The 14,640-nt window shown below is 45.9% G+C and overlaps 1 protein-coding gene and 1 pseudogene across 33 annotated transcripts in view, besides 1 other annotated feature; one reads left to right on the top strand and one right to left on the bottom strand.

Moving 5' to 3' along the window:
• The window catches only part of DEPDC5 (DEP domain containing 5, GATOR1 subcomplex subunit), a 154,066-nt gene that overhangs the window by 131,883 nt on the left and 7,543 nt on the right, over positions 1–14,640 (top strand). For 26 of the 33 annotated variants that reach the window (NR_157126.2, NR_157125.2, NR_146296.2 and 23 more), the window contains 2 exons: positions 7,732–7,901; positions 11,632–11,803. Coding sequence is in view for 25 of the 33 variants with exons in the window: in NM_001364318.2 (NP_001351247.1) it covers positions 7,732–7,901; positions 11,632–11,803 (342 nt within the window). In the remaining 8 variants the exon portion in view is untranslated. Of the gene's footprint in view, positions 1–7,731; positions 7,902–9,508; positions 10,105–11,631; positions 11,804–14,640 lie in introns of those variants that run through there. The other 7 variants (XM_011530562.3, XM_047441628.1, XM_047441629.1 and 4 more) reach the window with 3 other exon arrangements.
• LOC124905101 (transcription and mRNA export factor ENY2-like) lies at positions 5,262–5,640 on the bottom strand (annotated as a pseudogene).
• Positions 5,416–5,950: an enhancer, noted in NCBI's record as "OCT4-NANOG hESC enhancer chr22:32287252-32287786 (GRCh37/hg19 assembly coordinates)". NCBI's record gives its function as "activates a minimal SCP1, AML or CMV promoter by ChIP-STARR-seq in primed H9 embryonic stem cells {active_cell/tissue: H9 hESC(primed)}" and the evidence as "EXISTENCE:reporter gene assay evidence [ECO:0000049][PMID:30033119]".

Raw genomic sequence — 14,640 nt, forward strand, 5'->3', positions numbered from 1 at the left:
TGGTGAAACCCCGTCTCTACTAAAAATGCAAAAATTAGCTGGGTGTGGTGGCGGGCACATGTAACCCCAGCTACTCAGGAGGCTGAGGCAGGAGAATCTCTTGAATCGAGAGGCGGAGGTTGCATTGAGCCAAGATCACTCCATTGCACTCCACCCTGGGTGACAGAGCGAGACTCCCTCTCAAAAAAAAAAAAAAAAGACAAGGTCTTACTCTGTTTCCCAGGCTCACTACTTACTCCTAGCTCACTACAACCTCAAACTCCTGGGCTCAAGCAGTCTTTCCACCTGAGCCTCCCAAGTAGCTGGGACTGCAGGTGCACACCATCATGCCCGGCTAGTTTTTTTGTTGGTTTTGTAGAGACAATCTCTCTCTGTGTTGCCCAGGCTGGTCATGAACTCCTCGGCTCAAGCAATCCTCCCAGTTGGCCTTCAAAAGTGCTGGGACTAAGGCATGAGCTGATTCCCTCTCTTGACAGTTTCTATAGGAATATCCTCGTTTCCAAAGCCTTCTTCTAATGCAGGCTGGTAAAACCCTCTCTTGACTTCTGGTCTTCAGCTCAAGATGAAATTCAGATCATCTCAGTTTAGCTTTGATAATTCTTAGTGCTTAAAGAAAAGCAGTGTATAGGCCAGGCATGGTGGCTCACGGCTGTAATCCCAACACTTTGGAAGGCCGAAGCAGGCAGATCACTTGAGGTCAGGAGTTTGAGACTAGCCTGGCCAACATGGTGAAACCCTGTCTCTACTAAATATACAAAAATTAGCGAGGTGTGGTGGCATGCACCTGTAATCCCAGCTACTCGTGAGGCTGAGGTGTGAGAATTGCTTGAACCTGGGAAACGGAGGTTGCAGTGAGCCAAGATTGCACCACTGCACTCCCGCCTGAAAAAATACGTCTCCATCTCAAAAAAAAAAAAAAAAAAAAAGAGAGAGAGAGAGGCCAGGCATGGTGGTTCACGCCTGTAATCCCAGCACTTTGGGAGGCCAAGGTGGGCGGATCACAAGGTCAGGAGTTTGAGACCAGCCTGGCCAACATGGTGAAACCCTATCTCTACTGAAGATCTCTACTAAAGATACAAAAAATTAGCATGGCGTGGTGGCGTGTGCCTGTAATCCCAGCTACTCGGGAGGCTGAAGCAGGAGAATTGCTTGAACCCGGGAGGTGGAGGTTGCGGTGAGCTGAGATCGTGCCATTACGCTCCAGCCTGGACGACAGGGCGAGATTCCATCTCGAAAAAAAAAAAAAGAGAGAGAGAGAGAAGCAGTATATAGAAAAGTAAGTCATAGGCCGGGCATGTTGGCTCACGCCTGTAATCCCAGCACTTTGAGAGGCCGAGGTGGGTGGATCACCTAAGGTCAGGATTTCGAGACCAGCCTGGCCAACACGATGAATCCCTGTCTCTACTAAAAATACAAAAAATTAGCTGGGTGTGGTGGTGGGCACCTGTAATTCCAGCTGCTCGGGAGCTGAAGCAGGAGAATTGCTTGAACCCAGGAGGCAGAGGTTACAGTGTGCCGAGATTGCGCCATTGCACTCCAGTCTGGGCAACAAAAGCGAAACTCTGTCTCAAAAAAAAAAAAAAAAAAAAGAGAAAAGTCATATGTCCAAAAAATAGGGAGATTTGGGAAGAAGAGAGGGTTTATGTCCATAGCAGGTAGTTTATTAAACAAGTGTTCTCCTGGGGTCTCTGTGTGGGCCTTAGGGGGTCAGTGAGTCTGAAACTAGGCAGAGTTTTGTGTGTGCCCATGTTTCCTGGGAAAACATCCTTTTGTTAGTTTTCCTGTGGTTTCCATAGTTGTTACAAGGAATTTCATTCCATCAGCCTCTTGCCCATCCGTCTTCCCAAAAGAAATGGGTTTCTTTTCCTTTTAAACCTGATATGGCCATATACAGCTAATTCTATCCAATAACAGCTCTCAGCCCTTTGTGTTAGGATATGAGAGGTTTCTTCCCAGCATTTTTTCAGGTTAGAATGTAGTCTTTTACTGTGTCATTTACTCAAGTGGGGAAGATCTGTTTTCTTTAAATTGAGCTGTATTCATTGTTTGGGTTTTTCTTCAGAAAAAAAATAACATGATTTATAGGGGGAAGAAGGCCTGTGTATCATTTGTGACTTGTCCCTTTTTTTGTTTTTTGTTTCAACATGTTCCTTTTTAAACACTTAGGATACTCAGTTGGAAGTTAGCATTGGAAGTCTGTTTTGAAATGCCTGACATTGACACATGACCTTCTCTGGCTTGGCTCATGGGGGCTCCCACTTTCTCATTGCAGTCACCCTGGGCTGCTCACCTGGGAAGCAGCAGGAGCATCTGAGACTCTAGAAGCAGCAGCCCTGCAGCTCTTAGGCCCACTCACATGCCTTTCCTTCTCAGCCTTGTTTTGTCTGTGGTTTTTTTTTTTTTTTTTTTTTTTTTTGGAGACGGAGTCTTGCTTTGTCGCCCAGGCTGGAGTGCAGTGGCGTGATCTCAGCTCACTGCAACCTCCGCCTCCCGGTTTCAAGCAAGTCCCCTGCCTCAGCCTCCCGAGTAGCTGGGATTACAGGCGTGCACCACCACACCTGGCTAATGTTTTTCTATTTTTAATAGAGATGTGGTTTCACCATGTTGGTCAGGCTGGTCTCAAACTCATGACCTCAGGTGATCCACCTGCCTTGGCCTCCCAAAGTGCTGGGATTACAGTAGTGAACCACCACACCCGGCTCTTTGTTTGTGTTTTTGACACAGAGTCTTGCTCTGTTGCCCAGGCTGGAGTGCTGTGGCATGATCCTAGCTTGCTGCAGCGTCAACCTTCTGGTTTCAAGTGACCTTCCTGCCTCAGCCTCCCAAGTGGCTGGGAACACGGGCATGTGCCAGCATGCCTGGTTAATTTTTTGATATTTTGTGGAGACAGGGTCTTTGTTGCCCAGGCTGGTCTTGAACTCCTGGGCTCAAGCAATCCTCCCACCTCGGCCTCCCAAAGTGCTAAGATTACAGGCGTGAGCCACTGCGCTCGGCCCCAGCCTTTTCTTGACGGCCCACTGGATTTTGGGATCAGAAGGGAATTTAGAGCACCTCTGTCCAAACCCTGACACTTGAATATTTTCTGCAGCACTCCTGATAAGTGGGGAGCAAGCTTCTCTTTGAAAAACCCCCTCAACATGGCACTCACTCCCAAGACTGCTTGTTCTGTACCTGGGCACCTCTGATTGTTACGTAGAGTATCACTCCCCTACCTGGGGTTGCATTTTTCTCCTCTGCTGACACTGTCCCCTTCCCCAGGTTACTGATAACCCCCTAGCTATGACCTGGGTGAAGGATGCTCAGCCTATTCCTCCTCTGGGCTTGCATGTATTTATTGGTCTTGTGTGAATAAGTTGGTTCTCATGGAACTCACGTAATGATTCTATGAACTTACTGAAAGCTGAACTCAGCTGGTCTCATATCTTTATCAACATCATAATCCGCTAGAAACATATGTACTGCCAAATCTATCCCCAAAGTACAGGGCCAGTAGTATCTTCAGCCTGTAACCACTTGGTTGAACAGCGTACTTCCTGGCCCAGGCCAGCATGTTCTGAACTTAACATGCCAGATGGGAGAGAAGAGATGCATGAGGCCACTGCTGGTATTTATTGAATATCCTCGTCTTTGTGACACAGACTTTTCACTTGGGAAGAAACACACAGTGTCCAAGACCAGAGGGCAAAACTTCTTTTTTTTTTTTTTTTTTTTTTTTTCCAGACAGAGTCTCGCTCTGTTGCCTATGCTGGAGTGCAGAGGCGCTCACTGCAAGCTCCGCCTCCCAGGTTCACGCCATTCTCCTGCCTCAGCCTCCCAAGTAGCTGGGACTACAGGCACCCGCCACCATGCCCGGCTAATTTTTGTATTTTTAGTAGAGACGGGTTTCACCTTGTTAGCCAGGATGGTCTCGATCTCCTGACCTCGTGATCCACCCGCCTCGGCCTCCCAAAGTGTTGGGATTACAGGTGTGAGCCACTGTTTTGATTTTGGCTAAGTAAAGGGTTATTCTGGCAGTATCAGGAATCCATAACATGAAGCAGAGACAGAATGTAGTTTTGATGAGCCTTTTAGCATTGGAGTGACCAAGTTCTTTAGCCTTAAATGTCACAGACAGCCAACCAGTGTCCATGGGCGGCACAGACAGGCCTCAGATTGAACATTGGCAAACTAATGGCCTAAATTGGGAGAAGAGACCAGCAGGAACAGAAGGAAAAGAGGAGAGTTACAAGTTAGGTGGCTGGGTAAGGCAAGAGAGGAGGTCCACACTCCTTTCTCATCCATGCTTCACCTGATTCTCATCCTGTCTCTATGAACCATCTGGGCTGGCACATCTCAGTTTGTAGTTCAGGAACTAAATCAGGAGAGGTGAAACAATGCTCTCTGAGACATATGGTTACTAAATGGCAGAGCTTAGATCTTCCAACTTCAAATCAATAAGTTTTCCCATTTGCATGTTCTAGGTTTTTGTTTGTTTTTCCATTCATGAGATATTTATTAAAATAACACATTTGGGGGAAAAAATCAATACAACATAGACATCACTACTGAAAACCATATATCATCATACAAAAAGGGATTTTGGCCAGGCATGGTGGCTCATTATTATCCCAGCACCTTCGGGGGCCGAGGTGGGCAGGTCAATTAAGGCTAGGAGTTCGAGATAAGCCTGGCCAACATAGGGAAACCCCAACTCTATTAAAATACAAAAATTAGCTGGGCGTGGTGATGTGCACCTGTAGGCCCAGCTACCTGGGAGGCTGAGACACAAGAATCTCCTGAACCTGGGAGGCCCAGGTTGCAGTGAGCCGAGATCACGCCACTGCACTCCAGCCTGGGCAACAAAGTGAGATTCTGTCTCAAAAAAAAGATTTTTAAAATTTTTATTTTATTTTGAGATGGAGTTTCACTCTTGTTGCCCAGGCTAGAGTGCAATGGTGCGATCTCGGCTCACTGCAACCTTTGCCTCCCAGGTTCAAGCAATTCTCCTGCCTCAGCCTCCCGAGTAGCTGGGATTACAGGCATGCATCACCACGCCCGGCTAATTTTTTGTATTTTTATTAGAGACGGGGTTTCTCCATGTTGGTCTTGAACTCCTGACCTCAGGTGATCCGCCTGCCTTGGCCTCCCAAAGTGCTGGGATTACAGGCGTGAGCCACCATGCCCGGCTAAAAAATGAATTTTATTTTGGGAATGGTTTTCTAATTTATGGCAGATATTACTTTCAAAAATAATACCACAGAACAACACAATCTAGGTCAATCTTAAAGACTGACAGGCTGAGCAAGGAATGTTTTTATTTTTTTGTAGGAGCTCCTTCTTTAAACTGTCAAGTACTAGGGCTCTGCCTTTTGGAGTGATTTCAGCCACCAAGTCATCGACAATAACGTGTTCTAGTCCTTTCTCTTTAATTACCTCTTAATGCAAAAGCAAAAAACATATCACTTAAAATCATTATCTTTACATTATCTTTATCAACTCATCCTTTCAGCCACATTCAATTAATTTAGCTCAGCAGCTCTTTCAGGCGTTCTCTTACTCCGGTTTCTGTCAACTTTTGGTTAATCTCTGCTCTCATATTCATCTTGCTAACCACACTTCCTGGACTTAGTCTTTTGAGAGAATGGTGAGTGGTACATCTGGCAGCTGAATGCCAGTTTGCCTGAATGCCATTAGTGACCTAGCTGGAGCTCTCCTGCCTTACAACAGAAGCTCATTAAAATTGCTGACGCAAGAGCTGTTTATCTTTGTCAGTGAGAAAAACCCACTCAGGGCTTCTATCTGCAGAACCCAGAACTAAACTGACCACTTCAGCTGAAGAAAACTGTTGAATTCATGGGGGTAAGGGAGAATGAGGGGTGGATTATAGTTTATAGAAACCCTAGGTCTGGGGGTACATGTTCTCAGGATCTCTTAAGACTGTGCCTCAGGGAGGCAAAAAACAAACAGAAACCCTAGGTCTGGCAGTGCCCAGCCAGGCAGAACAGAAGCCTGACCTTTTCTTTGCTTCTGAGCGTATTTTAGGGCCTTAGCCTGGTCAGGAACTTGATTGACACGTCTCTGAAACATCCTATCTTGAGTTGGTAGGATTTCTGAGCAGAAGTCCCAGATAGGATGAGTAAGCTTGGTACTCACCCAGCATCCTTGAGCAACATGTCAATGATAGGACAGGGTGTTAAGCTTCATTATAAGGTTTCATTTCTTGAGAAAAGATTGTAGAACTACTGTCTTCCTGGGTTGAAACCTGAAAAGCAAGACTTGTCACTGGTGGTCTGTGCTGTTTGCCCATTGTGTTTCTTCATAGGTCACTGAAATAAAAAGATCTGGGGTTTAGCCTGGCTGAGGTTCTGATTCCATCATCTTGGCCAAGGCATCTTCCCTCCCTGGCTGCCATTTCCTCATCTGTAAATGAAGGGGTTGGATTACTTAGGGAGAAGTAAACTATGGCTTAAGCAGCCAAATCTGGCTCACCATTTGTTCATTTATAATTGACTATTTCTTTTAGAGCAGTTTTCGGTTCATAGCAGAATCTAATAGAAAGTTCCTGTACATCTGGCCGGGCATGGTGGCTCAAGCCTGTAATCCCAGCACTTTGAGAGGCCGAGGCGGGTGGAGCACCGGCGGTCAGGAGTTTGAGACCAGCCTGGCCAACATGGCAAAACCCCGTCTCTACTAAAAATACAAAAATTAGCCGGGTGTGGTGGCGCATGCCTGTAATCCCAGCTACTTGGGAGAATGAGGCAAGAGAATCACTTGAGCCTGGGAGGCAGAGGTTGCAGTGAGCCAAGATCACGCTACTGCACTCCAGCCCGGGTGACATAGTGAGACTCCATCTCTGAAAAAGAAAGAAAGAAAATTACTATGCATCCTTTGACCTCCACCCCCACAACCTGCTGCCCCCACTATCAACATCCCCAGACGGAGTAGTCCATTTTTTACAAGGTACAATCCATAAACCTACATTGACATCATTGTCACCCAGAATATCCATGGTTTACATTTTAGGGTTCACTCTTTGGTGGTGTATTTTTTTTTTTTTTTTTTTTTGAGACGGAGTCTCGCTGTATTGCCAGACTGGAGTGCAATGGCGCGATCTCGGCTCACTGCAACCTCTGCCTCCCAGGTTCGAGCGATTCTCCTGCCTCAGCCTCCTGAGTAGTTGAGACTACAGGTGTGCACCACCACACCCAGCTAATTTTTGTATTTTTAGTAGAGATGGGGTTTCACCATGTTGGCCAGGATGGTCTCGATCTCTTGACCTCGTGATCTGCTTGCGTCGGCCTCCCAAAGTGCTGGGATTACACACGTGAGCCACTGTGCCCGGCTGGTGTTGTATATTCTGTAGGTTTGGACAAATGTATAGTGACACGTATCTAACATGATATCCTACAGAATAGTTTAACCGCCCTAAAACTCAGTCTGCTTTTATAAAGTTTTATTGGAATACAGCCAGGCACCTTCATTATGTAACGTTTGTGGCTGCTTTTGCACTACAATAGCAGAGTTGAGTAGTTGCAACAGAAACCATATGTCTCACAAAATGTAAAATATTTATAATGGGGCCTTTTACAGAAAGGTTTCCAATATCTAGATGATTTCCAGGAAACTTCTGGAATCTGCAGTTTTCTTTTAGGCACTTGTATATAGTTTCATATCTGGATACTTAGTTATTTGTTCTTCTTCATCCCACTCCTTTTCTCACTCTCTTGGGGCCCCTCCTGTGTGCTGACATAGCTGCCACTGTCCCAGAGCAGAGGACTGTGACCCTGGATGTTGACGTGAACAACCGCACAGACCGGCTGGAGTGGTGCAGCTGTTATTACCATGGCAACTTTTCTCTGAATGCAGCCTTTGAGATCAAGCTGCACTGGATGGCGGTGACCGCAGCAGTACTCTTCGAGATGGTGAGAACCTTCATGCATGTTGTCAGGCCTTTGGCTCACCTCACAGTGGGCATGGAGATGCTTGATAGAGATTCATGTCACTTTAATTTTTTAGTTCAGGCTCTTATTACCATTCATCGGGACTATTGGAGTAACCTTTTTAAAAAATTTAAACATAGTAAAAATTTTAAGCAATCAAAAAAGGTAGAATCAGGGTTTCTTAGCCTTAGCAGTATTGACATCTGAGGCCAGATAATTCTCTGTGGGGGAGTCCTGCACCTTATGGGAAATTGAGCAACAACCCTAGCCTCTACCCACTAAATGCTAGTAGCACAGCCCCAGGTGTGGTAAGCAAAATGTCCCCAGATATTGTCACATGTCCCCAGGAAGGGGGAGTATTGCTCCCTCTTGAGAATCACTGGTTTAGAGTGAAAAGTAAGTCTGTTTCCCACTCTCATTCCCTGGGATCTACTTCTGCTTTGTTGAGTAAACTTCCAGAGAGATTCTAAGCATGGACAAAATCACGTTACTTTTTTTTTTTTTCAGCAGAGATGGTAGCATTGGATACATACTACTTACATTGCATTTTTTCTATCACCTATGTGTTCCATGTCAGTACAAATAAATCTGCCTTGGGATTTTTTTTATTATTATTGTTATTGGGATTTTTGTTTGTTTTTGTTTTGCCTCGTTGTTTTTAAGGGCTGGAGAGTTTTCTATTATTTGTTTAACCATAGTTAACCAGTCCCCTGTTAATAAACATCACTGCTTTGAACTCAGTGGTTCTTTACCTGGGCGGATTTTGCCACCCGGGATCATTTGGCAATATCTGAAGACAGAAAAGGGTGGCTGGGCACGGAGGTTCACGCCTTGGGAGGCCGAGGCAGGCAGATCACTCAAGGTCAGGAGTTCAAAACCAGCCTGGCCAACATGGTGAAACCCTGTCTCTACTGAAAATACAAAAATTACCCAGGCATGGTGGTGCACGCCTGTAGTCCCAGCTACTCGGGAAGCTGAGGCAGGGGAATCACTTGAACCTGGGAGATGGAGGTTGTAGTGAGCCAAGATCATGCTACTGCACTCCAGCCTGAGTGACAGAGTGAGACTTCATCTTAAAAAAAAAAGGAAAAAAAAAAAGAAGGCCGGGAGCAGTGGCTCACGCCTGTAATCCCGGGCCGAGGCAGGAGGATCACCTAAGGTTGGGGGTTCGAGACCAGCCTGACCAACATGGAGAAACCCCGTCTCTACTAAAAATACAAAAAATTAGCCAGGCGTGGTGGCGCACTGCCTATAATCCCAGCTACTCGGGAGGCTGAGGCAGGAGAATCGCTTGAACCTGGGAGGTGGAGGTTGCAGTGAGCTGAGATCGCGCCATTGCACTCCAGCCTGGGCAACAGAGCGAGAATCCGTCTCAAAAAAAAAAAAAAAAAAAAGGAAAGAAAGAAAGGGGTGAGGGCAGGGTGGGTGCTACTGGTGTCTAGTGGGTAGAGACCAGCAAAGCTGCTCATCATCCTATAATGCACAGGGCAGCCCCCACAACAAAGAATAACCAGCCCAAGATGTCACAAGTGCCAAGGTTGAGAAGCCCTGTTTTAACTGGTCTTCCTGCCTGTCCTTTCTCCTTCTAGTTCATCCTGGCCTGCATCTGTAATCAGGCCATTCACTGCTCCTACACTAAGAAGCCATACCTGACCATCCCCCATCGCAGTGCTCACTCCTTAGCCAAGTTGTCAGTATCTTCCAGGACAGCTCCTTAACCATCTTTATAGTGTGCCACTCCTTTTTATACACTCTCCAATATAGCCAAAAAGAATATTCTTCTGTGGCTTCTACTGAATCTCGCTTCTCTCAACACCAGCCCAGCCATCTCTTCATACAACAGAGAACAGCTGGGAAGTTCAAAAAGAGTTTACTAAAAGCTAGGAGATAAGCAAAGAGAAATGAGTACAGCATGAGCCAGCAGGTTTTTTTTTTTGTCCAGAGCTCATAGGCTAAGTTTTGTCCCACAAAACATGGTATCCTGGGAAAGCAATTTTTCCAGGTCTCTGTCTGCCTCCACATGGCATTAGCATCTTCAAGGACCCCTCCCTTGGAAAGACTCTCATCTGGGGAACATCCTTAAGGTCCAAATAAAAAAAGACAGCCTGCTGCTCATTCTGCTCAGCTCACAGAGGACACCAGCCCTTCCCCAGCTCACTGATACCAGCATGACCACTTCTTTCAGGTAAAACTAACTCTCTGACCCAGTAGGCATAAGCACTCTCCTTGCTGGCCCTACTAGATAAGCATATCCCAAAACAGCATGACCACAGCATTGATAGACACACACATATAGTTATAGTTGGGCAGGAAGGACAGTGTTCATTTCCTTAGAGGAATTTAGCAACTGTCTCTGTAAAGTACACCTTTCACATCTGTTCATGTAAAACCCACTGAAAGCTGCTAATCTCTTTATCATTATTTTATTAAGCTTTTAAAACTTCAGTGTATGTAAGTTAATTATTATTTAAGGCAATGTCCACATTTGTTAAAAATCAGATTTTATTGAGACAAATACTACATAAAATAAAAAGGTTTTTGACCAAGGCTTAGGAATTATTTCGGTCAAACAGAGATCTCGGCTTTTTGTTGTTATTTTTGTTATGAACATTCCGTGAGAGAAAAGATAAGGGTGGTACCCTTTAATTTTTTACATAATCATTTGTTTAAGTCAAGCTGTGTCCCAACTCTATTTTTTTGGAAATAATACTTGACACAAAAATCATCTGTATGCCAGAACCACATCGATCAACCTTTTTTTTTTTTAACATACATCATTTTTATGGTTAAAAAGAGTATCTCAAGATCTAGAAAATTGCCACTGTTCCCTAAGAAAATGTTATTGATGGTAGGTTTATCTTTTTGCCCCAGTAACTTTTGTTCTCATCTTTGGACAGATAGGATTTGGGACTCTGCCAGAGAGTGGCTCTCACTCTGTCAGGTCAGGGCTTACCATTATCAGAAGCCACTGTGGTCATTTCCCCTCCTCCATCACATTTCTCTCAGCCAGCCTGAGTGAGTTGTTTTCCTATTTGATACTTTGAACTTATTAAATTCCTGGTAAAGTACAAAATTAGGCTGGGATCATGCCTATAATCCTAGCATTTGGGAGGCTGAGGCCAGCGGATCACCTGAGTCAGGAGTTCGAGACCATACTGGCCAAGTGGCAAAACCCCGTCTCTACTAAAAATACAAAAATTAGTTGGATGTGGTAGTGCACGCCTGTAGTCCCAGCTACTTGGGAGTCTCAGGTGGGAGAATTGCTTGAACCTGGGAGGCGGAGGTTGCAGGGAGCTGAGATCTGGCCCCTGTACTCCAGCCTGGGCAACAGAGAAAGACTGTCTCAAAAAAAAAAAAGGACAAAATTAGAAGGACTTAACCTCTATCCTGTGACCTTTCTCCAACATCCCCTAGAATGGGAAGGATTTCAACTCTCTGCAGACCGTTCTTTCTAAAAGAAACACCGAAGGTGCAGAAGTTTGGGCTGTAAAGAGGAGCTGTGTGCTTAGCTCACAGTTTTTGTAGTATTTGTCAGGATGTTAAACTGCATTTTTGCCTGTCCAGGACCAATTTGCAGCCAGCAAACATGAATAAATGAGCATGCAAATCAATATGCATGCTGCCTTTCTGGCGGGTTTTCTCCTTGGGAAGTATTTTCTCTTGTTTGAAAGAACTTGGAGATGATATTGTTTGTTTCTGTACTTTCCGCCAGGTCCAAGGTTGGCATCGGAAAGCCACCTCCTGTGGCTTCTTGTTAGTCCCAGTTTTGGAGGGGCCTTTTGCACTGCCCAGTTACCTGTATGGCGACCCCCTTCGTGCCCAGCTCTTCATCCCACTCAACATCAGCTGCTTGCTCAAGGAGGGCAGCGAGCACCTGTTTGATAGTAAGAAATATTCCCTTCTGGAGGTTGTCTCAACCAGTAAGACCCCGTCCCTAACAAGGACACCACTCTGGGTATCCAGTCAACACGGACTAGGGAAAAGGGACAGCCTTTCAACAAGGGGCCAAAAGGATCAAGGTTCTAAAGGATCCTGATTCTTGACTTAGTGGCTGGATAACTCTGGACAAATCATTTCATGTCTCTGAGTCTCGAATTCCTTATTCCTAAAATGAGAGTGTCTAGAGCTGCCTGGAGCAAAGTGGTGGGTGGGAGAGGGCGCTAAACTCTATAAATCACAGGCAGCACTGGTGTTCTCCCACGCTCTCCTTTCATATGCTCCAGCCTAACTGGTTTGGGCTGCAGGGATTTAAACCTCACGGGAGACTTGCATATGCTATTTCGTGCAAAAAGGCCAGGAAAGGGAGGGCATGAAAAGCAAAACAGGAAACAGCATCCTTTTGTGCAAAGCTGTGGCATGTCAGCCTCTGGAATGGTGCGTGTGACTCGAGTCATGCATCTCAGGGAAGACAAAGCAGGATCAGAGGATGATAGCAGGAACCAAATCAGAGCCTTTCCCTCTGGGAAAGGTTTTCAATCAGAAAGAGAGTACCCAGGGTCAGCCTGGACCTGCTGCTCTACCCCAGAGCCCAGAACCCAGAGGGCAGGTTTAGGACAGATCAAAGACGAGCTGAGCTGTACTTGACACAGCATATAGCTTTTTATTACCAAGTGCTCGTTGTGGATGCACATATAAATAGCTCCTACAAAGCTTTTGATGAGTTCACAGATGATCTTTTTTAAAACGCAAAGCTAGGGTTGATGCTGATACGTCAGGAGCCCTGAGGTTTCTCAGGTATAAAGATTAGAACTGTGAAGGAAACAACATTTGACGTAAGAGAGATGCTTTCTTCTTGTCCCCTTGTAAGTCTGTGTCGTGATCAGCGGCAGAGAACCAGCCCAAAAGATAAGGAGATCTCCCCAGGTGGATTAGGCCAAGCAAAGTATTCCTGCAATTTCCATGTGACAGGCTGCCCTCATGGTGCAAACAGCTTTTCTTCCAAAAGCCCATCCGTGTATTTTTTGTTTGCAGTTTGGAAGATTTTTTTTATAGACACAATGTTCTAAGTGATAATCGGGGTCCCAAGCAAGCCCCACAGAGGCCCTACCTGCTGGGGGCTATAGACTGTGGGACACACAGAGCTTACAAAGCCCCCTTGAAACACACATGTTCTTGTTTAACCTCACAGTGATGTGGCTGAGAGAGGACCATTTATGCAGTCCTGAAATGCCAGATGATTGTGTTCATATGGGGCAGTTTTAAGCCAAGCAGCTCCTGGTACTATTGTTTTTATTATGTTGAAGGAACAGAGAGATCTTCCCCCGAAACTGTCCAAAGACTCTTTGGGGGTTTTTCACCTTTGCTATAACAGCACAGGATTGCCCACAGGGCTGGCGTTGGAGGACATTTTTGTGCAAGTTGTTTTTCCCTGCCAGTTGTAACTCAGTCTTCAAGACCAGCAGCCTCTGTTGGTTGCCATGGTTACAGCTGCAGAAAGGGTCCCAGTTTAAAGCAATAAGGATTTGAATCTAAAAATCAATTTTCTTGCTTCTGTGCCTCTTCTCTTTTTGTTCTTGCCATTTCCTATAGCAGCAAATTCAAAATCTTAAAAATCTGACAAGAGTGTGCTGTGTGTGTGGATTTTCTCTGTTTAAAGCCAAAGTCTTTTTTGCTTTTTGCCCTTTTTTTTTTCTTTTTGTGACGTAGTCTCGCTCTGTCACCCAGGCTGGAGTGCAGTGGCGTGATGTCCTCTCACTGCAACCTCCGCCTCCTGGGTTCAAGTGATTCTCCTGCCTCAGCCTCCTGAGTAGCTGGGATTACAGGCACACGCCATTCATGCCCAGGTAATTTTTTTTGTATTTTTGTAGAGATGGGATTTCACCACGTTGGCCAGGAAGGTCTTGAATTCCTGACCTCAGGTGATCTGCCCGCCTCGGCTTCCCAAAGTTCTGGGATTACAGGCATGAGCCACTGTGCCTGGCTTTTTGCTCTTTAGTTGCCCTAAATCCTCAAATCCATCCCAGGTAGAAAATTCCAAATGTGGAAAGATTAGCAAAACCACCGCAGGCACTCTTGTCTTTGGGATGGCTGTGCAATTACCACCCCAGGCCTCAGCACCTCCTCCCTGAGAGCAGCCCGGACTCTGTCCTCTGGTGCTGTGCGACAGCCTTCCCCAGCCCTCCACAGCCCTCCACCCTTCCCCCTCCACTCTTGGTTCTCAGCAACAGCCTTGCAGAAGGCATGAGGCTGGAGTAACAAAGTGGGTTATGGAGGAGCGGACTTATCTTTTCTGCTCTCCTCCCCAGCTGATTACTCTTCAAACTTTTATTTTATTTTACTTTATTTTAGTTTTTTTGAGATGGAGTCTTGCTCTGTCGCCCAGGCTGGAGTGCAGTGGCGCAATCTCAGCTCACTGCAACCTCCGCCTCCTGGGTTCAAGTGAGTCTCCTGCCACAGCCTCCCGATTACCTGGGATTACAGGCATGTGGAACCACGCCCAGCTAATTTTTGTACTTTTAGTAGAGACGGGGTTTCACCATGTTGGCCAGGCTGGTCTCAAACTCCTGACCTCAGGTGATCCACCCACCTCAGCCTCCCAAAGTGCTGGGATTACAGGTGTGAGCCGCCGCACCTGGCCCAAATTTTTATTTTTATATTTATTTGCTTCAATTTTCCTACCTCTAGAATGGAGCTTATAATATTTGCCCTTTCTTGTGGGAAGATTGGTAATACAAAAAAGTGGGGGTGGGCCGAGTGTAGTGCCTCACGCCTATAATCCCAG

This window comes from Homo sapiens, chromosome 22, assembly GCF_000001405.40.
Source record: "Homo sapiens chromosome 22, GRCh38.p14 Primary Assembly".
Lineage (NCBI taxonomy): Eukaryota > Metazoa > Chordata > Mammalia > Primates > Hominidae > Homo > Homo sapiens.